The 23,283-nt window shown below is 38.2% G+C and overlaps 1 protein-coding gene across 17 annotated transcripts in view, besides 2 other annotated features; it reads left to right on the top strand.

The window, feature by feature from the left end:
• Positions 1 to 23,283, top strand: part of PDE1A (phosphodiesterase 1A) — a 576,757-nt gene that overhangs the window by 197,161 nt on the left and 356,313 nt on the right. The window lies entirely within an intron of this gene.
• Positions 19,429 to 19,987: an enhancer, noted in NCBI's record as "NANOG hESC enhancer chr2:183364377-183364935 (GRCh37/hg19 assembly coordinates)". NCBI's record gives its function as "activates a minimal SCP1, AML or CMV promoter by ChIP-STARR-seq in naive H9 embryonic stem cells {active_cell/tissue: H9 hESC(naive)}" and the evidence as "EXISTENCE:reporter gene assay evidence [ECO:0000049][PMID:30033119]".
• Positions 20,080 to 20,210: a silencer, noted in NCBI's record as "fragment chr2:183364154-183364284 (GRCh37/hg19 assembly coordinates)". NCBI's record gives its function as "represses an EF-1alpha promoter that drives an FKBP-Casp9 reporter gene in an ReSE screen in HepG2 liver carcinoma cells {active_cell/tissue: HepG2}" and the evidence as "EXISTENCE:reporter gene assay evidence [ECO:0000049][PMID:32094911]".

The raw sequence follows: 23,283 nt of genomic DNA, 5'->3' as shown, positions 1-23,283 counted from the left end.
TATCAATGCTGTCTACCATTTTTGTTTTCTTTTATTGAGCTTCTTCTAAATTGTCTTCATATAATATTTGAGACACCATATAAAGTTATGTGCCAAGAAATCTCTTTTTCTTTTGTGACAAGAAAGGTGAAACAGTTTCTTACTCCCATTCTGATGTAGACTTCTCTGCATTAGTCTATTAATTTTCTTCTTATATTACAATCTTTTTATTTATCTTTTTCCATATTCAACCACTAATTTGTTACTCAGTACAACAATTTAGATTCTACACTACAAGTCATCATCTATGATGGTGGAAATATGGGCAAATAACTATGGCATCAGGTCTTTCATAAATTAGATTTAAAAAGAATTATATACTTGGCCATAAGTTATCAATCGTTTAGGGCTGGAAAACACTTCCTATTTCTTATGCCATCTCAACACCAAATGAAATTTCTGATTCAGAAGTTTCTTATGAATTTGGGACCTAGACTTCTTCCTACATACTAAGAAAACATAGCTATTGATAGTCTTTCAAAGATTGTCAATTTCATTGATTTCCATGTGGAAAGTTGGTTTGAAGATTTTACAGTATTTCACCTATGCATTGTGTTTCTTTTCCATTTGAAAGATAAATGCCTTTTTGTGTCATGTACTGTTGCTTTTTTTTTCTCTAAACATACAAAGAGTTCCACACCTGTGGATTTTATTAAAAAATTAAACATTTAAAAAACACTGGTGTTGCTCTTTCCAGTTAGTGACATTGCTATAAGAATTCAATCTAAGAGGTGACAGCATTTTCAGAAAACTGAAAATGAGCATTTTTCAGGTAGAAAATTCAGTGAAAACGACATGAAATTATAGGGAAAAATCTAAAACAAAGTATTATCTTACTCAGGCATTCAAGAGAAGAGAAGAAAGTATGAACTGCCAGAAACCATAAACTACTGACAAAAATGTAATACTCACCACTTCATAGTACTTACTGCCCCAGTTCCTTCAGTTTTTATAAACATAGTACTAGAATCTATCACAATTTCAGTTAGAAGCTAACTTTATATCTGATCGCTAATTTTACACGTCTCGACACATACCTCCTTATCTCCCCCATCCCGACGAATGTCCAGATATTAATTTTAAGACTTGGAATTGTGAATGCAATGCTTGAAAGACATTAAGTTAAGCTTCGTTGTCTTTTTTTTCTCTGTGATTGGTAGGGTAGTGAACATGACTATCAATAGTGAAGGACAAAATGTTTAGAAGCAAAAAGTGAAGGAGAGAAGAATTAGATGGTAATCTTTTAATTCTAAGCAACTGTTATTGTTGAAGAGGGCAGTATGTTGTGTAGTTCTCAGATGGAGTTGTCCAGGCCCTTATCACCAAGAGGATGTAGCAGAAATATACATTTAAAATAAAAATTAGCAAAAAAAACATGGAAGTGACAGGAGCTATTAGCATCATATTCCCAAATTGGAACCATACTTTAGGATGAAGGTGCATTATAGATAAGACACAAATTTGATCCTTTTACTCTCTGCTTAAACACCTTTAAAGCTTTGCATCCTTCACAGGGTCACTGTATACCAGCTTGATCTTTGGATTCTCCTCTAATGCCTCTCCTTCTGTGACATGCCTCCTATTCAGACCTAGGGTCACCCAAAAGAAACATTGCTTACCACCCCTTTTCCTGTGCTCATTTTGTTCTCTCTTCTGGAGGCAACTGTTCCTCCGTTTTCCTTTCAGCCAGGTTTGCTCTTGTTCTATACGAAGCTTTTGGAGTTGCGTAGGGAAGTTTCTGGTGGTTGCAGTGATGGCAAGGTGTTTCTGCATTTAGTGGGCAGCAGGGTCCGGGTAGGCTAAATGTCCTGCAGAGCTCAGGGCATTTCCTTATCAGGAGGAGTTGTCCCACTCAAAATTCTGATAGATATCCTGTTAAAAATGTGCAAAGATTGCTGCTTAAATTTCACTTGCAAAGGAAATTCTTCCTGACCTTCCAGACTAGATTAGTTTTTTATTTTCAGCTCATAAATAACCTGTATTTCTCTTCTCGTAACAAAATCCACCTTCCCTATTCAACCACAGCTTTTGAGTGCAAGAGCTATGCTCACTTCATTGGATTTGCTCTTGGATTCCAGCACATAGCACAGTACTTAGCACATAGGAGATAATGCAATTAATATTTTAAGTCAATGAATGAATAAAATTCTGAATCTTATACTGGCTGTAACTAGAAAATTAGATCAGCCAGGCTGCGAAAATAGTGACTAAAACCAGGTGGGAGGATTGGAGATAGATTCACAGCTGGAATAAACATGGAGAAGATGGAAGGGTGTTTGCTTTATCATCTTTATCATCATATTGTTAGAATTGTGCAGATATAACATATTTGTATTCTTACTCCCCACCAGTGTTCTTAAAAACATAAGTCTCTTAAGTAGTTATGCAGCTAGTATCTGGTAGAACATGGGTTTAAACATAGATATACCTAGCTCTAACATTATATTTATCTTGCATCCAATACAGAAAAGATGACAGTCTCAGAAGACACCAGAAAAGGATCTACAATGGTTCTCCTTAAAACTCAATTCCCAGGCTTGGGGTAGGCAGACTTATCACCCTCCAGAAATGTCCACGTCTTAATCCCCTGAACCAAAGGATATGTTACTTCATTTGAAAGGGAGAATTAAAGGAGCAGATGGAGTTAAAATTGCTAATCAGCTGACTTTAAAATAGGGAGCGTATCCTGTATTACCCAGGTGAGCCTAATGTAATCACAAAGATTCATCTTCCTCCCTCCCTCCCTCCCTCCCTCCCTCCCTCCCTTCCTTCCTTCCCTTCCTTTCCTTCCTTCCTTTCTCTCTTTCTTTCTTTTTCTTTCTTTCTTTCTTTCTTTTTCTTTCTTTCTCTCTTTTTCCTTCCTTCCTTCCTTCCTTCCTTCCTTCCTTCCTTCCTCCCTTCCTCCCTTCCCTCCTTCCCTCCTTCCCTTCTTTCTCTCTTTCTCTCTTTCTTTCTTTTTCAGATAGGATCTCACTCTGGTGCAGTGGTGCGATCTCTGCTCACTGCAGCCTTGACCTCCCAGGCTCAGGTGATCCTCCCACCTCAGCCTCCCAGGTAGCAAGAACTACAGGCATGTGCCACCACACCTGGCTAATTTTTTTATAGATCTAGTAGAGATGGGTTTTTGCCATGTTGCTCAGGCTGGTCTTGAATGCCTGGGCTCAAGTGATTCGCTGACCTCAGCCTCCCAAAGTGCTAGGATTGCAGGTGTGAGCCACCATGCCTGGCCAATCACAAAGGCTCGAAAAGTGGAAGAGAGAGGCAGAAGAAAAAGTAGGAGTGAGTGACAAGGACTTAACTCGTCTGTGCTACTATTGAAGATGGTGAAAGTGGGCCACGAGCCAAGGGCAACCTCTAGAAACTTGAAAAGATAATAAAACAGAATGTGCCTAGAGCTTCTGGAAAGAATACAGTCCTGCTGATACTAGAACTCAGTGAAATTTGCACCAGATTTCTGAGCTACAGAACTGAAGATAATTCATTTATTTCAAGCCACTGAGTTTGTGGTAAATTTGTTACAGTAGCAATAAAAATCTAATACATGCCTTCTATACCAGAAGAACACATCAACATGACCATTCCTGTCCTCACCCAACACACACACACACACACACACACACACACACACACACACACACACACAGAAACACACACACACGCACAATCCCTAGTGGTGAAGCCCTGCCTCACTCTATGGCACATTGGATTCAGATACTCTTTATTCTTAGCCATTAACTCACTGTACCTCCATCTAACCCTGACTTGCATGCCCAAAACACCAGTTTCCTCACCAAACTCTGAGATGGAGGGTATTTACTGGATTCATTTCAAATGTCAAAAGAGAATGTGATCTTTCTTGGAAATTGTTGATAAGTCTGTATGTTGTTCAGTATGTGACTGTTTTGATGGATTAATCAGGCAAATCAGTTATTAAAAATCTGTCTTTTAATCATAATCATAATTTGTTTTGAAGAAAACCACTTCATCAAAACTCATTTTGATGTGTAGACGTAGTCTTAATATTCAGTCCTACATAACATTATGTTATAGTTTATAGAACTAACATTATTAAGGTGGAATACCTTACAGATTAGGTGGCTTAGAAATTGAACTCTAATCAGATATTTTCTAATATTACAATACTACCTGCTTTTTAGCTGAGTGTCCATGGAAAAGTTATTAATTTACCTAAACTTCACTTTTCTTATTTGTAAAATCCATTAATTGAATTGATCATTCATTTACTCATTCAATAAATATACTCTGATTGTATACTGTGTCAGGTACAATGTTAGACACAGAAGCTACTGTTCCTGTAGAGGAGACAAACAACAAAAAAGTAAATTATAAAAAGCAAGTTAATATGCAGTAAGAAGTGACCAGAATAAAATGCACCTTTGGGAAAGTATTTTGGATATTCAGGGATGACTTCTTTTAGGTTATTTTTCAGCTGAGACATGGACAAAACTGATACCTACCTCATAAGATGCTAGGGTGAGAGGAAGTGCTAATGAATGATACCCATAATTCCTGCCCAAGTTCAGAATTAAGAGAGAGATAGGTTTAGGAGTCCCGTAGATGAAAATCAAAATATCAGCTTTATTGCAGATTAAACTTGCATGGAAGAACATGGTTTGGGTGTGTGGCTAAATAAACCAGAATTCCTGTGAATTCAACTTAACCTTCAAAACTGCAGAACTATAGAACAAAATAAACTTTCTGTTGATTCTGTTGATAGTTTCTTTTGCTGTGCAGAAGCTCTTTAGTTTAATTAGGTTCCACTTGTCTATTTGTGTTTTTGTTGCAATTGCTTTTGGAGTCTTCCTCATGAAATCTTTGCCAGGGTCTATTTCCAGAGTGGTATTTTCTAGGTTTTCTTTTAGGGATTTTATAGGTTAGGCTTTACATTTAAGTCTTTAATCAATCTCGAGTTGATTTTTGTATATGGTGAAAAGAAGGTGTCCAGTTTAAATATTCTGCATATGACTAGCCAGTTATCTCAGCATGGTTTATTGAATAGGGAGTCCTTTCTTCATTGTTTGTTATCGTTGACTTTGTTGGAGATCAGATGGTTATAACTTTATTTTGGGGTTCTCTATTCTGTTCCATGGGTCTATGTGTCCGTTTTTGTACCAGTGCCATGCTGTTTTGGTTATAGCTTTGTACTATAGTTTGAAGCTGGGTAGTGTGCTGCCTCTGGCTTTGTTCTTCTTGCTTAGGATTGCTTTGACTGTTCATGCTCTTTTTTGATTCAATATAAATTTTAAAATAGTGTTTTCTAATTCTGTGAAAAATTTCATTGGTAGTTTGATAGGAATAACATTGAATCTGTAAATTGCTTTGGGCAGTATGGATATTTTAGCAATGTTGATTCTTCCTACCCATGAGCATGGAATGTTTTTCCATTTATTTGTGTCATCTCTGATTTCTTTAAGCAGTGTTTTGTAATTCTTGTTGTAGAAATCTTTTACTTCCCTGGTTAGTAGTATTTCTAGGTATTTTATTCTTTCTGTGGCTATTGTGAATGGGATTGCGTCCCTGATTTGGCTCTCAGCTTGGATGTTACTGGTGTATAGAAATGCTGTGGGGTGTTGCAGTCTTACACTATTATTGTATGGTTATCTAAGTCTTTTTGTAGGTCTCTAAGCACTTGTTTTATGAATCTGGATGCTCCAGTGTTGGGTGCATATATTTAGAAAAGTTAAGTCTTCTTACTGAATTGAAACATTTATCATTATGTAATGCCCTTCTTTGTCCTTTTTGATCATTGTTGGCTTAATTTCTGTTTTGTCTGAATTAGAATAGCAGTCTCTGCTCTTTTTTGTTTTCTGTTTGCTTGATAGATCTTACTCCATCCCTTTACTTTGAGCCTATGGTTGTCATCACATGTGAGATGAGTCTCTTGAAGACAGCATACAGGTTGGGCCTTGCTTCTTTATCCAACTTGCCACTTCGTGCTTTTTAAGTGGGGCGTTTAGCCTGTTTACGTCCAAGGTTAACATCGATATGTGAAGATTTGATCCTGACATGTTGTTAGCTGGTTGTTGTATAGACTTGATTGTGTACAAGCTTTATAGTGTCAATGGTCTATGTACTTAAGTGTACTTTTGTGGTGGCTGGTAACAGTTTTTTGTTGCTATGTTTAGCACTCCCTTAAGGACCTCTTGTAAAGCAGGTATGGTGGTAACAAATTCCCTTAGCATTTGCTTGTCTGAAAATGATTTTATTTTTCCTTGTTTTATGAAGCTTAGTTTGGCTGGATATGAAATTCTTGGTTGGAATGTTTTTCCTGTAAGGATGCTGAATATAGGCCCCCAGTCTCTTCTGGCTTGTAGAGTTTTTGTTGAAAGGTCTGCTATTAGCCTAAGGGAGTTCTCTCTGTAGGCAGCCTGCCCTTCTCTCTAGCTGCCTTTAATATTTTTTCTTTTACATTGACCTTTGAGAATCTGATGCCCATGTGTCTTAGGGATGGTCATCTTGTATAGTATCTCACAGGGGTTTTCTGATTTCCTGAATTTGAATGTCAACCTCTCTAGTGAGGTTGGGAAAAATTTTGTGAGCAATATTCTCAAATATGTTTTCCAAGTTGCTTGCTCTCTCTCCCTCTCTTTCAGGGATGCCATTGAGTTATGGGTTTGGTTTCTAAATAATCTCATATTTCTCAGAGATTTTGTTCATTTTGAAATTGTTTTTTCATTATTTTTGTCTCACTGAGTTGATTCAAGGAATCGGACTTTGAGCTGTGAGATTCTTTCCTCAGCTTGGTCTATTCTGCTATTAATACTTGTGATCGTATTATGATATTCTTGTAGTGAGTTTTTCAGCTCTATCAGAACAGTTTGTTTCTTTCTTAAAATTGCTATTTTGTCTCTCAGCTCTTGAATCATTTTAATAGATTTCTTAGATTCCTTGAATTGGGTTTCAAGTTTCTCTTGAATTGCAATAATTTTCCATGCCATCCAGATTCTGAACTCTGTGTCTGTCATTTCAACTATTTCGTCTGGTAAAAAAACATTGCTGGGTAGCTGTTATGGTCATTTGGAGGTAAAAGACACTAGATTTGTGAGTTGCCAGAGTTCTTGCATTGTTTCTTTCTTATCTGTGTAAGCTGATGTTTCTTTAATCTTTGAAGTTGCTGTCCTTTGGATGGGGCTTTTTGCTTTTATATTCTTTCATGCACTTGAGGGTTTGACTGTGGTATAAGTTGGGTTGAGTTGACTGGCTTTGTTTTTGGATTATTTCAGGGGGCCAAGTCTCAGCTCAGCACTCCTGGGCTGCATGCTCTAATACTGGGGCCTGGGACCAGGCCCATGACTTTGTTTTATGGCCCCTTGAGGTTAAGCACCTGCTGCACTGGAGGGGCTGAGGTGTTTCCAGTTCACTGGCAACAACATTCTGATGGGGAGAAAGGTGCTGGAAAAAGGACTTTATTGAGGTTGTAGCAGTGGGGTTTGCATGTGCACATGTGCGATAGTGGCGGTAGGGTAGTGGTGAGGTGGTGGGCTCTGTGTGCACATTCACCAGTGACAATGGGATGGTGGTGTGAGGAGGTTTGCACACATGCACTGGCAGCAGCAGTGGTGGGATCTGCCTGTGCACTGGTGGTGGTGGGGCAGTGTGGTCCACGCATGTATGTTGGGCAGCTGCAGGACACATTTGTGAACATGTGTTGGCAAGGTGGTAGGGGAAGCGGCAGATGGGTGTGCACTGGCAGGGGCCCATCTGCAGAAGCTCTCTGATGGTCAGACAGGGTCTGTTGGTGAAGGAGCTGTGGTAGTGTCCACTGGGAAGCACCCCAGTTCAGTATCTGTGCTTGCACTGCAAATGGGTGTGTCCAAGCAAGGACTCTGGGGAGAGGCTGGCAAACAGGGGGGCTCCCAGATCAGATTGGCTCTGTCTCATGGGGAAAATAGCCCTGTTCTGTCTAGATTTGAGTCAACACAAGCCAAAGCCTGTTAGCATAGCATGGCAGGCCTTGGGAGATGGGCATCCCTGGCTGTGCTCCACTATAGCTGTTCCCACACTAAACCCTTCAGGCTCTGTGCAGGCTTAAGTCCCACCCCTATCAACTCTGTAAGAAGCTCTCCCTGCCAGCTCAAAAGTCAGTATGTGTCATGGGGTCTCCTGCAGCTAGGATTCTGGAGGTCTGTGGTGAGAGTGGGCCACTCCCCACCTATTTTACTCACCCTGGCCCCAGGAGCTCCTCTGGTCCAGGAATGAGTCCTGGTGCTTGGCAATCCCATACAGCATTCGCAGCCTCCTTTCTCTTCAGCTCAGGGTCTGTTTCCTCTGTCCACTCTCAATGCCCTTCTGAAGATCTGCTTGGAGCGTGCCGGTCTTTTTGATGGTCTGGTCTCTTGGTGAGAGAAGGTTTTCCTGGCTACATCTAGTTGACCATCTTGACTCTTTCCCTCTTGATTGATTTTTCAATTCCTCAATTTTCTTATCTGTAAATGGAAATAATATCATCACGTATCTCATCGGTGTTGAGAGAATTAATTAAGTTGACACACAAATTATTTAGAAAAGTATCCAGAATTCAAGAATTCCTAGCTTTTGTCAGTCATTATTATTGCTAATATTAAATGCAGAAACACAATTCTATATATTTTCATGTACTTTTCTTATCAGAATCAATGCACAGAGTAGGGTTGTCAAGATGCAGAAAGACAACTTTCTTTTAGCTCAATGGAAGTATTCTCACTCCCCAGGTTTCTCTTCACCAGAATCATTATACATAAGGATTTGTGTTTCCCTGGAGCAGGAACTAGGGTATATAAGGAGAGAGAGCTGAGGAGAAGTGGGCTTTGAGAGTTTCACTGATAGAAGAATTGTCTTGAGGGCATCTTTAAGTCAACATCTTGAGGTAGCCTTATAGTGGATTTTAGGTCTCTATAATCATGTTTATCTCAGGGCTAGACTTATTTTCCTGAGTCACTCTGGCTTGAAAATTATTCTTTAGGCCTTTTCTTATTATAACCTGAGCCTGGTTCACAACAGACTTGACTTCTAGGTAATTGCTATCATGTCCCATGTCCATCCCCTTGCTGACTCATTTTAGAAAATGCTGTATTTCCATTACGTTATCAGATTTTGTCATTTAACATATTTCAATTAGCTAGTCAAATGTAATATGTGAGCAAGTTTGATTATCATCTGGTAAAGGACTATGCTATAGTAGGCCTTTTGGATATGAAAGAAAGTCTTAATTAACATTATTAAACAGATGATAGCGTTAAAGTCTCATGAGAATCACACTATTCCACATATCCAGTCTGAGCAAGTTTTAGGCATGAATGACTATAGTTAAGGAAGGCATAACAATGATGATAGCTCATTAGAAGCATATATATGAAACATGACCCTTTGGTTGGTTTCTCCTTTCAGCTATACTTTCTTGAAGCTTTTTAAAAAGATCAAATTTTATTTTATATTTTATAAAATATTTAAAAACGTGGACTTTTACTAAATAGGCCGACAAAAAGCTCAGTCATGCAGATAATTTTTGATAGGCAAATTTTTGATATTTATAGTTATTCAAATATGTTTATAATGAGTCATGAAAAAAATAGTAAAATCTCTAAGCACCAGAGTCTCCAGGAGAAGAAACCTGAGGTCAACATTAACTAAACTCTGCATAAGTATGGATGTTCAAGGGATTCTTTTAAAACAAGTTGTAGATAAATTTAAAAGAAAATAAAAATGAACTTATTAGAAAAACAATAATGTACTAATTCTGGTCCATTTAAAACTGGACTTTCTAAGAGTTGGTTCAAAATAAGCTGTATTTGGAGCAAGATAAGACAAAGCTGAACAACTTTGGTATCAACTACATTTCTGGTTACCTTAAATTGTTTAAAAATCACCTCAAAATTGAATCATAGTAGTAATCATACTTTATAATTGTTTTCTGCCTGTTACTTTCTGAAAGATTTTACTTTTTATCTGTATGGCTCAGTACAATTATCTCCAGTCTTTCGGATGAGAAAATTGAACCTCCAGGATATTAAACCACTTGGCCACTATTTCACATTTAGTAAGGGGAGGGCCAAATTCTGAGGCCCATACTTATTCCACTGAACACTGACTTAGATAATTCTACTTAATACGCAAGGCTCAGTATAAAACCTGACATTTCAGGAATTAAAAGCTGTTCTCTTGTTTTGATTTTTTCCACAGTCCTGCCATCTGTTTGTCTAGTTTTGCGTACTCAAAGCTGAATACCAAATGGAGTTATCATGTGGCGTATGGTTTGGATGTCAGAAACTCCCCAATTTTGTTTCTCTTCTCTAGGACATGTGCTACCATTACCTTTTAAATTAATTTATTTAAACAATGATTCTAGCTAATAGCTACAAGAGAATTTGATGTTTTCTAAACTCTTTTACCTCCTTAGAGCTTGGACCTTTGCGAAATCACTGTAACTTATTTGGCCTTTGGTACACCAAACAACCAAGAAAACCCTGCACAGTAATGTCTGGGTGCCCATTTCAGAAGATTTTTTTTTAACCAATGAAAATAAATTCAAGAATTCTAACACCACATATTCTCACTCATAGGTGGGAATTGAACAATGAGATCACATGGACACAGGAAGGGGAATATCACACTCTGGGGACTGTTGTGGGCTGGGGGTAGGGGGGAGGGATAGCATCGGGAGATATACCTAATGCTAGATGACGAGTTAGTGGGTGCAGTGCACCAGCATGGCACATGTATACGTATGTAACTAACCTGCACAATGTGCACATGTACCCTAAAACTTAAAGTATAATTAAAAAAAAAATAAAAAATAAAATAAAATAAAATAAAATAAAAATAATCAACAAGCTTTAAAAAATAAAAATAAAAAAAAAATAAAAAAAAAAAGAAATTTACAAATGGCTTTGATACCCCGGAAAATATCTCACTTCTGAATCTTGGTGTTTATACTCTGTGTTAAAAATGCTATGCTAGTTTTCTTTTTTACTTGTTGATGTTTATTTGTGGCTCCTTAGGTATTCTGTTATTCAGTGTTTACAGCAAATAAACAAAGTCAGTAATGTCATTCCTAAATATCCACGTAGAGAACTTTTGCTTAGAAAACATAAATGAATTACTCCACATGCCAGTTTTTCCGACCTAACTCACCTTTCATTTGTAAACCACTTTTACCTTTTTTTTTTGTTTTTCACATGAATATCTTTTATTTCTTTTTCTTATCTGGTTAGTCTGGCTAAGACTTCCAGTACTATGTTGAACAGAAGTGGTGAAAGTGGGCACCTTTGTTTTGTTGGTGGTCTTTGATGGAATGTTTTAGGCTTTTCACCGTTGATTATAATGTTAGCTATCGATTTGTTGTATATGGCCTTTACTATATTAAGGTATATGCCTTATGTTAGTAATTTATTGAGAATTTTAAATCATAAAAGAATGTTGAATTTTGTTGAATGATTTTTTTGAATCTATTGAGATAATCATAAAATTTTTATCCTTAAAAAAAAAAAAAGAATTCTAACCATTAAATCTAGGTACTTTATTTTTGCTTAAGCTACTACTCTATTCTTGTTATAACAAAACTTAAGCACATAAGAATGCTCTTCCCTGAAGTCAAATGAGTAGTCTTTCTTCTGTTTATTTCAGAAAAATAATCTTAATATAGTTTATTCTGCCTTACTTCCCAAACAGAACTTAAACTACACAGTATTTTTTTCAAGCATTCTTAGATTGCACTTAGAGATGGCTAGTATATGGATTAATGGGTTCCTTTCTAACTTTTAGAACTTGAAAAATTTCCAGTACTTCCCACTGGTTGCAGTATGAACAAGCATCTTTATGTGTGGCTGTTCAATACTTCATTTCCTAGCAAATCTCTGCTTCAATATCTTGAGTTTTCCAAAGATATGATTTATTTATTTTCCAGAAATTCTATCATATTGTTGTTTGCTGTTGCAGTAATGGCCCAATTTATTCATGATTTCCTGTATCCATTCTCTTGACTAATCTCTCTCATACTTACTCTTGGCCATACACCTTGTTTTAGCCAGTGGGCCCTTACCAAATGTGACACAATCAAAGGCTTAGAAAGGGCTTATGCACTGGAGTTTAAGCTCTCTGGAACCCTCAAACTGGCGTGTGAAGAAGCCTGGTGAGACCTATTGGAGGATGGGCATGTAGGGTAGATATAAACCACTCCAGCTGAGGCCCCTCTAAACCAAACAGTTAACTACCGGACATGTGAGTGAGGACTACCCAACTTTCTCAAAATTGTGAGAAAACAATAAATGTTTATTATTGTTGTCCACTAAGTTGTCGGTGTTTTGTTGCACAACAAAAGCTAGTTGATATGCACCCACAATGATCTCTTAGCTTCTGAATTTTTCACATAAGTCTCTGGTTTCTAAAGTTTTTTTTTTCTACCTATTACTGTGGTTACTACTTTCTCATCATCTACTGTCATTTATTTCTTTGAACTAATAGCCAATTAGTAAATATTTTAGAGCTTACGAAAATAAACATTGAGGTCTCTCTTTTTAGAAAGATAGTCTAATAAAATTCATCTACATATTATTTTCACCAGCAACACTATCAATGGCATGTGTCCACATAAAATATTTCTTCCAGTGCATGCTCCTTCAGCAGCTGTGTACTGAACTTGTATTGCTCTTAGATTTCTGTGAACAAATGTAATTTCCCACCAAATAGAAGAGAAGTATAGAGTAAAGCAGGGAAACTGCATAGTTGCATAAAAGAAGATGGTTCATATCCTGTTACCCTGGCAACAGGCACTAGAAAGGCCAGGGCTCCCCACACATCCTGTTGCCCTGACAACAGGTCATACAGGGCATGGGAAGGCCCAGTTCCCAGTTTTCTAGGCCTCCTCTTTGCAACCACAAAGACAAAGAAGAAAGTGATGTTGCATCTTGTTCCTCCCCACCTACATATTTCTTCTGTTATCTGAACCATTCCAGTATAAGATTATCTTTCCAGATTTAAGAGGGGGGCAGGAAATAGTGACTTCAATTTTTACATTCATAAGCTCTGAAACATTTGCTAATATTTGATTAGTTCAAAGGAGTAAATGATAAGAAAAAATGAGAGAGAATCAAAATAGTAATGAGAATAAATTGTGGAAACCAGAGAAGCATTAATATTATAAGAACAGTTTAGCAGCTGAGAGCTGATTTGGGGTATGTGTCCATTAGCCACACTAGTTAGCCTTTAAAATTTTTAAGGAGTCATCACAAGAAGTCACATCTATAAAATGGCTGTTTATTTGGTCTTATTTTAAAATAAGATATAAGTTGTAAAGACAAACGGTATTTCCTACTTATAATCAAACCAATTGCATAGGGAACAAAGAGAAACAGGAGAAAAAAAGAATTCGATCAGATTGCTTTCTTACGAACTCTACATGGAAAGAAAAGATGAATGACGAAGGAAAGAAAAGGCTAAGAATGAAAAAGGAAAAATTTTATATAGAATTGGGAATTCAGTTGATAAAAACTTGTATAGCATAACATCATTTTCTGATATTTAGTTATGCATTGCACTTAGAGATGGCTAGCATATAGATTAACGGGTTCCTTTCTAACTTTTAGAATTTGAAAAATTTCCAGTACTTCCCACTGGTTGCAGTATGAACAAGCATCTTTATGTGTGGCCTTTTGATACTTCATTTCCTAGCAAATCTCTGCTTCAATATCTTGAGTTTTCCAAAGATATTATTTATTTATTTTCCAGAAATTCTATCATGTTGTTGTTTACTGTTGCAGTAATGGCCCAATTTATTCATGACTTCCTGTATCCATTCTCTTGACTAATCTCTCTCATACTTACTCTTGGCCATGCAGCTTGTTTTAGCCAGTGGGCCCTTACCAAATGTGACACAATCAAAGGCTTAGAAAGGGCTTATGCACTGGAGTTTAAGCTCTCTGGAACCCTCAAACTGGCGTGTGAAGAAGCCTGGTGAGACCTATTGGAGGATGGGCATGTGGGGTGGATATAAACCACTCCAGCTGAGGCCCCTCTAAACCAAACAGTTAACTACCGGACATGTGAGTGAGGACTACCCAACTTTCTCAAAATTGTGAGGGATAAAGTAATAAAATCAAAGTGCCCAGGCCCTGTGTCTGGCCCAGAATAAGCATCTACGAATGATAGCTGTTCCTGTAAATTACTTTTTTGGTATATCTATGTGGGAAACAATGTGTTTGTTTTTCCCCATTCCTCTGCCAAATGTTAAGATTGAGGTAAAAGTCGACTCTAGATAACTACATAGTGGGTAGGAGGCAGAAGAGATTTAAACACTGACTGAATTAATGAATTTCTTATAGTCCAAGGTTCTAATTTCCTAAGTTCTCCACCACACATATACCAGGAAAACTGAAATTTCTGTTTCATGATGTAGCTGAATAATTAGGATTATGCTGACAGTATCTTTCAGTGATTAGTGAACATTCTGGCCTCATGTGGCCTTGCAGCCTGGAGAATTCTTAGTGAGTGGAGACGGCTGTGTGTCCTGTGAGAGAAAATTGCCTGCTGAAGTTTCCCAATTGCAGTGAGTCAGACAGGGAGATAAGCTGACTGAATTTGGAGGCAATCAGGCTAAATACTTTAGAATTGGCTTCCAGGCTACAACATGTTGTTTGCTACTGAGTTGAAGACTCTTCGCATGGGTCCTTAAAAAGAAACTTACAAAGCAAGGTAATCTTGAAGTTTTCCAATGTAATTGAACAATTTTAACATTTCTCAAGTTTCATTTTTACCAGACATTCAAGTCCAAGGTGTGTGATGAAGCTTGGACAATAGTCACCATTTTGAAGCTGTCACTTAATTTTTGTTCTCAGACTTTATTTATTCTATCATGTGAACCAAATTTCAGTTAGGGATAAATACTCATACAGTGTTTATCAGAAGATGCCTCTCTGTAAAAGTTAACTCATCTATCCAAAAGGAGATCATATATGCTTAATCATATGTGCTTAATAACTGAGAGTGTTCCAAAATGAAATTCACAACCGAAATAATACCCAGTTTAAGAGATTAAAATATTCCCAGCATTAGTCCCCAAATGACTTTATTATATATACTTTCCAATTATTTTACATGAGGCAATAATTTTTAAAATTCCTTACTGTAAATTTTATCTTTACTAAATAAAAAATGATAAAATACTAAAAATGATTTCTTGTTTATCTCCATTCTTATGTTTTTAAAATTCCTAATTCTATGCTAAATTTGCATAATACACACTTTCTGTAATTAGATAATTTGGTTGTATCTACCAGTATTACCTGGGAAACAAGAAATCACATGGAATCACTTTAGCGCACCTTGGAATTAGAAACATATTGCTAAGTAATCTTAAATTCCTTAGAAAGAGAAATTCAGCTCACAGTAAAAGCAAAGAATGAAAAGAAAAGGCTGTCCTTGATGAATTCAGATTGTTTTGTTAAGTGTATGTCTTGTGGGTATAGCAGTAAACACTAATGTATACAGCGTGAGTCACACTATGGTAATCTTAGCCACTGGTTAGAACTATCTTAAGAATGAGTGTCATTCAGAAAAAAAGTTATAGCCAAATTCATCCAGACTATACTGATACTTTTAAAAACATTGAGATACTTTGGAAAGTAGGGTTAATATTCTTTTATTAACTCAACTCTGTTGACTTATTAATACAACTTAATTATTTGTTCATTCTACAAATATTCATTCACTGGCGCATGGAGAGTTCCAGCATTACTCTAGGAACCAGGGATATAACAATAAACAGTCCAGATACGATCCCTACCTTCCTGAAGTGTATATTTTGATGGTGGGGTTACATAATCAGGCAAAAGAATATAATGTAATTTTAATAAAACGGTACAGCAACAAACTCTTGGGAGTTTCAAAAGTCTGTATTTTAGACCAGAGTGGTCAGGAAAGAGCTTCTCGTGATGGTGACTTGTGAAGAAAGACCTTAATGAAGTGAATAGTGAGTGACACCAAGGCCTGAAGCATTGGCCTTGGTGTGCGGAGGGAAGCAAGGGCACACACCCCAAGCAGGGTGCACTTGGCCTGTTTGAAGAAAACCAGTAAGAGCAGAAGGGCTGTAGTACAGGTAGGAGAAAGAGTGGAATAATTGAATGTGGAGAGATGGGCAGAAGTCAGATGACCCAAGATCCAGCAAGCCTTGATAAGAAGTCAAGATTTTATTTCCTGCATGATGGGAAGCCCTTTCACCTTAGGAGCATCAGGGTGGGTGGCAGATCTGATTTATGTTTTAAGAAGACTTCTCTGACCATTTTGTGGAAAATAAAGCTAAGAAGTGGAGAGGCAAGGAAGGACAAAATTAAAAATAGGAGGATGTGTCACAAGGCTCTGACCTTTGTCCACGTGAAGGTTCTGTAGCTTTGGTGACATTGGTGCCTTTGGAGGTGGTAAGAAGTATGAAGATTTGGGACATATTTGAGATTAGAGCTGACAGAATGCACTGATGAAATGGATATGGGGTTAAAGGATGGAAGAGAATGAGGCACAATGCTGTGTGTGTGTGTATGTGTGTGTGTGTGTGTGTGTGTGTGTGTGTGTAAGAAAGAATGGGGAGGGGGAGAGAGAGAGAGAGAAAGAGAGAACCTGAACAACTGGGTCTACAGTTCCTTACCTGAAACCTTTGGGCCCAGATGTGAACCAAATTCACAACTTTCCAAATTTTAGAAAGGTAATAATGTGCCTATTTCAAAAATCATCACATATTCCCAGTGGGGTTTGGGGTAGCTCCATAGGCACAAATCTGCAACAAAACATATAAGTATTCACTTAATACATGCTCTCCTCTCAGTTCAGGTCAGGTTTTGCTGTCAGATGAGCTCAGGTCTGGCCAAGTTTTGCTGCCAAATGAAAAAAGTCTGATTTTTAGGGTTTTTGAATTTTCAGTGTGGAAAAGGGATTGTTGACTTGTACTATTTCCTGAAATGGGGAGGATGGCTGTGGAAATAAAAACCTCTTTTAAATCCATGCTTTTGGGATGCCCATTAGATGCTCAAGTGGCCTTAACAAATACATACATAGCTGGACAGATAGGGGGTCAGGGCTGAACACATACATTTTGGAGTTGTTGATATATGGGTGTATTTAAAATCACAGGACTCAATGAGAACGTTCAGGGAGTGAAAGTTGGTATAAGTGAGAAGAGGATCGAGGGCTCTCTGGCATTCTAACATTTACAGGTCTGTAGAGAGTAAGAAAAACAATGGAGACACAGATACAGATACACAGACACACAGACACACACACAAACACACACACACACACACACGAAAGAGAGTAGGTGAGCAGTAAGGGGACTTATGTCTTTACCTCTTTCAGCAGTCACCTAAGTCTAGGAGCAGGGCGGCTTATCTATGATAGCAAGAGGGAAGACAGAATGTTTGGGAACATTTGCAGATAGATAGGTGAAAACTCTGGTTACTTTTATTTACTCAGCGAAATTAAAGAAGAGGCTATTTGAAGAGGCATTTGAGGAAGGAGGAGAAGATGGAGTCACCTGAGAGGAGTGTGGCTGAGGACAGGAGGTGGACAGGGCAGGCAGTCTGAGGGCCTGCCAGCGGTGTCGTATTTAAAGTCAGATCTGTGTCCCTGTGTGCCTTTTTTCCTGTTACGTTCAGTTCAGCTGTTTCCATGCAGGCTCAGAGGTTCAGGGCAGATTCAGAACTAGGTTTACAGAGTTCATATTTTGCCAGAAAACATAAGTGTGATGGATGAAGAGAGGGAAAACTGGAGCTTGAGGGCCTCTTTAAAGGACAGGGTGTTAAACCTAGATTGACCATGAGATCTAAGTTGGGTAGGGAGAGAAATGAGGACATGGGAGGAAGTATGGACAGGGAGAAAGTGGGTGAGGTCAATGAATTGGTGGTAGAGAAGACGGTAATGAATTGCTAGAATAGGGCACTAGAATCAGTGACCTTTTCTTCTTAAAGGCACAAAATGATATAATAAACACATATTGAATTAGACAAGCTTACACAAGAAATATAATTTGTGAAATGAATATATGGTAGGAGATTTTATTTTCCTCTGTAGAAGACTTCTGTGAGCACCTTTACATTTCATTAGGAGGCTTTCTCTTCAAAACAGAAGAGGCTGTTTGAAAGCATGGCTATTCCTGAAAAGAAAACAAAGCAGGCAGATCTAATTTTTAGGATGCTTTTCCTTGACCACAGCTTTTAAAGTATTGCCTATACAACAATAGAAGTTACACTTAAACAGTGTCATCAAAACTCATAACAGGGTTTTTCCTTCACCTTGCTTTAGTGACTGAGCTTTATTCTTTGTGGTGTTGATGGTGGTGGATGGCAAATTTAAAGTATGGATCAGTAGCAACAGGCCAAGCATGCAATGAAGGACTGCTGTGAAATATGTTATTAACCAGAAGGATGTGATGATTATGTCACTATATAAGGGTCGTTGTGCCTCTATTCACAGTAGTAGTAGTTTCAGTTGACTTAAATAATTCAGGCCTTCAAATTCCATCTGAAAAGCCAAATTGTTTTGTAAATTTGCACATGCTCAGCAAGCAATTAATTGTTCCTTTTTCTGATGATTTTGTTACCAAGACTGAAGTTCGTTTTGGTTGAAATTTTATAACAAAATAGCTACACACATACACACATAAAACAATGATACAAAATTATGTACATTGGTGTAGATGCAACTGCTATTCACTAACTACAATACAGTGTTGATCAGGTGTGAGGAGAAGTGAAAGTCATTGTTTATTTTGATTTTTGTCACAATTAGTGTCATTATATATAGAATTTGCTGGGTCACAATGTTAAACAGTTGTAAGACTGCCATGTTGAGGTCACTGGATAGATTTTACATCTACTTTTGGCCTTTTGGAAATGGAATCTTCTGTTTTCATGCAATAAGCTAATTTGGGGATAATTATATGTGAGTTATGTCAATATTTAAAAAAATCTTTTGAAGTTTTGGTTGAATTTCTTATTTGGCATTGGAGGGTGGCTCTTATTTGAAGTTTAGTGTCAGGCTGCTTATCCCAAAGTAATTCTTGCAATTCTTGGACCCTTAGTGAGATGTTCCCATCAGTAATACTTTGCATTTTTTGGCTGATAGATTAAACTTTTCTCAGCTCCTGGAGATCCTTTTTCTGCTTTTCCTTATTTTTAAATAATAATTTAATGTTGTTGTTTTTTGATTTATCTATTTTAAATATTCTTTACTGATTTCATATAACATGGATGAAAGTTGAGCATTTTTAGACCAAGCTCCTGCCACCCCCTCCTGACTGACCCTCCTCCCAATGTAGTTCTATGACCACTTCAGTGAATCAGTATTTGAGGTTTGTAGTCTTATGACTGAATTGGCTTCACTTCTGAGCCAAGTAGTAAAGTATGAATATGTTCCTATGGAGTATAACTTCTTGTTTTTCCTGGAATTAATAAATATCTCATTTTAATTGTTACTTTGTTGGACTTGATTACTGCAAACCTATCACTAATTCTTTCTGAGTTCACCGAAAGAAGTGCAAAACCCTTCAATATATTACCATCATGTGCTTCTTCTGTCCCACTCTTTTCCTTAGAGACATTTTGTTTTTGTTGTTTTTAATTGGTATTGTATTGTTTTTCAAATCTTTGTCCCCCAGCTCCAACTGGGACTCGCTAAAGCTGGAGACACAGCCATCCCCTGGGACTGCCCTTTGCTTTCATTCTGGGAAATCCCTCCAGCACTCTCATGAATTGCGTTTGCTGTTTCCTGGATCTCATCCTTTCTTGTTTACCCTGTTTAGGGGATGAGCTTCTCCAATAGTTCCTGAGATAGGGCACTTGAGAAATACATGTGTAAAAATGAATTCATATGTGAAGATATATTTATTTTGATACAGGTTAGTTGGTTCAAACATAAGTAAAAGATACTTTCTCTCAGAATTTTGCAGATACCAGTTCATTGCCTTTTAACTCTCGGTATTGCTATCAAGGAGCCTGAGGCCTTTCAGTCTTCTTTTTGTGTGATGTTCTTCCCAACCCTCATAAGCCAGGAATTTTTCTTATTTCTGCTGTTCGGGAATTTCGTGATAATAACCTTAGTCCGGGTGCAGTGGCCCATGCCTGTAATCCCAGCCCTTTGGGAGGCCAAGGCTGGTGGCTCATTTGAGGTCAGGAGTTTGAGACTAGCCTGGTCAACATGGTAAAATCCTGTCCCTACTAAAAATACAAAAATTATGGCTAACATGGTGAAACCCTGTCTCTACTGAAAATACAAAAAATTAGCGGAGTACAGTTGCGGGCGCCTGTAGTCCCAGCTACTTGGGAGGCTGAGGCAGGAGAATGGCGTGAACCCGGGAGGCGGAGCTTGCAGTGAGCCGAGATCGCGCCACTGCACTCCAGCCTGGGTGACAGAGCAAGACTCCGTCTCAAAAAAAAAAAAAAAAAAAAACAAGAAAAAGAGAAAGAAAATAGCCTGGCATGGTAGTGCATGCCTGCAATCCCAGCTACTTGGAAGGCTGAGGCAGGAGAATTGCTTGAACACAGGAGGCGGAGGTTGCAGTGAGCTGAGATTGCACCGTTGCACTCCAGCCTGGGTGACAGAGCAAGACTCAATCTCAAAAAAACAAAAAACAAAAACCAAAAAAACCTTAGTAGGGTCATTTTTTTATTTTTTTATTTTGAGATGGAGTCTCGCTCTGTCGCCCAGGCTGGAGTGCAGTGGCGCATTTCCGCTCACTGCGAACTCCGCCTTCCGGGTTCACGCCATTCTCCTGCCTCAGCCTCCCAAGTAGCTGGGACTACAGGCGCCCGCCACCGCGTCCGGCTAATTTTTTGTATTTTTAGTAAAGACGGGGTTTCACCGTGTTAGCCAGGATGGTCTCGATCTCCTAACCTCATGATCTGCCTGCCTCGACCTCCCAAAGTGCTGGAATTACAGGTGTCAGCTACCGCGCCCGGCCTTAGGGTAATTTTGATACTGGGAAATTGACTGGTCCTTTCAGTCTGGAAATACATGCCTTTCAGTCTGGAAATACATGCCTTTCAGTATGGAGAATATTTCATTTTTTTAATTTGATAACTTTTTTTCTTATTTTTTTTTCTTTCTGGGATTTTTAGTTTGCACCTCTTGGATTAAGCCTGAAATTTTCTTATATTTTTTTCTCCTCTTGCCAATTTTTGCCTTTTTAAAAAAATACAAAACTTTAACATCTATCTCTCAGCCTTTCTAATACTTTTCTGAGACCTGATAACATTCTTACTTTGATTCTTATTTGTAGCATTCCATTCTTTTGCTATGTATATAATAATTTTTATAGCTCTGAAATTGTTTTAGTTGATTAACAATTCTTCTTCTATATGAATAGACTTTTTCTCTGGAGTGCCACTTTCTTTGTGTTCACTTCAGTGTATCTTTCATGTTAAAGGCTTTCCTCAGAGGTTTGGTGATTCTTGGCTGCCTTCTCGCATTGCAAAGTGAGACACTGCAGAGCTCATTGACATTCAGTGTGAATGGACAGTGGGCTTCATAACAGTGTGGTGGGTGCTCAGTCTTTTTTTTTTTTTTTTTTTTTTTTTTGAGACGCAATCTCGCTCTGTCGCACAGGCTGGGGTGCAGTGGCGCGATCTCGGCTCATTGCAAGCTCTGCCTCCTGGGTTCACGCCATTCTCCTGTCTCAGCCTCCCGAGTAGCTGGGACTACAGGTGCCTGCCACCACGCCCGGCTGATTTTTTTTGTATTTTTTCAGTAGAGACGGGGTTTCAAGGTGTTAGCCAGGATGGACTCAATTTCCTGACCTCGTGATCCGCCGACCTCGGCCTCCCAAAGTGCTGGGATTACAGGCGTGAGCCACCGCGCCCTGCCGGGTGCTCTGTCTTTTAATTGGGTGGTTACCAAATGCCGGTACCTGTGTCCACAGGTCTTTCTTTGGAGCTATGTATTTTCTATAAGGGCAAATAATCTAATATCCTGTCTAGTATGTCTAAGCCTTTTTGTGTCTGTTCTAGAACGGAATGAGGAAAAACGTTGGGGCCATAACATTCATTATGTAGTTTTTACTTATTAAGAATAGAAGTTTAACCTCTCTCACCTCTGTGGTTTAATTTCACAAGAAAACAAACACCTTGTTTCCCAAAGCGACATGGGAACAATAGTTACCAGGTACTGAGGAGGAAATTAAGGACTTACCTTGTCTTTACATAGCCAAAACCCCACTTTCAGCACCACTCTGCTTCCCTGACTGCTGTGATACCTGGTGCCTTCAATTCCTGCATCTTTTCAGGGATCTTTAGGGTGAAACCCTTGTTTCTGCTGTCATCCTTTGCTAAGGTTTCCACCCCTCCACCTAGTTTCCACACTCCCGAAAACGAATTGATTCTCTTGGATTTTGTTACTTCTTTCCTATTCACACTGTCCTTTTGAGGGATTTATAACATGTTTTGTTTTTACTGTCATGTTAGTGGAGTTTTAGGAGATAACAATGATAAATACATGTATTCAATTGGCCATGGTTAAAAGAGATGCACTAAAGTTTTTCAATAATTTAAAATAAATTAAAATTTTTTTTCACTTTAATTGTCTGGAAAACTCTGTGAAGTAAGACCATATACCAACTCCATTTATCATATAAGGAAGCCAAAATAAGTAACCTTAAAGTAATTGTATCATATAGGGTTCAGTGCAGGAAAGAAAACCCACTGGTATTTGAAACAGAAAGGGATTCAATACAGGAATTAGTTGCTTACAAAATCACAGGAATGTCTATAGGAGCCGGAAGTCAGGGCCACTACTGGATTAGCAAGTTAAAAGCTTAGCTGTGATTCAGTCAGGAAGCTACTGCCTCTGGGCTGCCATCACTACTGCTGCTATCAGTCCGCTGCCTCTAGATACCTATGGAGCCAGTGGCTAGACATGCAAAGGCAAAGTCCAGCCAATACAATTGTCTCATGACCTTGTTTGTCAGCCAAAATAGCAGCAGAAAGATGGCTCTTCCTCACTTTGCCTTCCAAATGCTTTCAGGCCCCTTTCAATTGGCAGTACCTAATTCACGTTAGAAGCCTAGCTAAAATGGCCCAGGGATATAGATTTTAGCTTTCAAATCTCTCCAAATAGAATGAGTCAACCTAAATTATCTATCATAATAACGGTTTGTGACAGAGCTATAACCAGATCCCAGTTTTTGTCACTTTCAGTATTTTTATTTCTACTGCTTCTTTTCGTTAAGAAAATAATAATAAAAAAGATACATAACCACATTACAATTTGTTTTCC

This window comes from Homo sapiens, chromosome 2, assembly GCF_000001405.40.
Source record: "Homo sapiens chromosome 2, GRCh38.p14 Primary Assembly".
In the NCBI taxonomy this organism is placed as follows: Eukaryota; Metazoa; Chordata; class Mammalia; order Primates; family Hominidae; genus Homo; species Homo sapiens.
The sequence above is the reverse complement of the archived record's forward strand: the minus strand, read 5'-3'. Positions and strand labels throughout refer to the sequence as shown.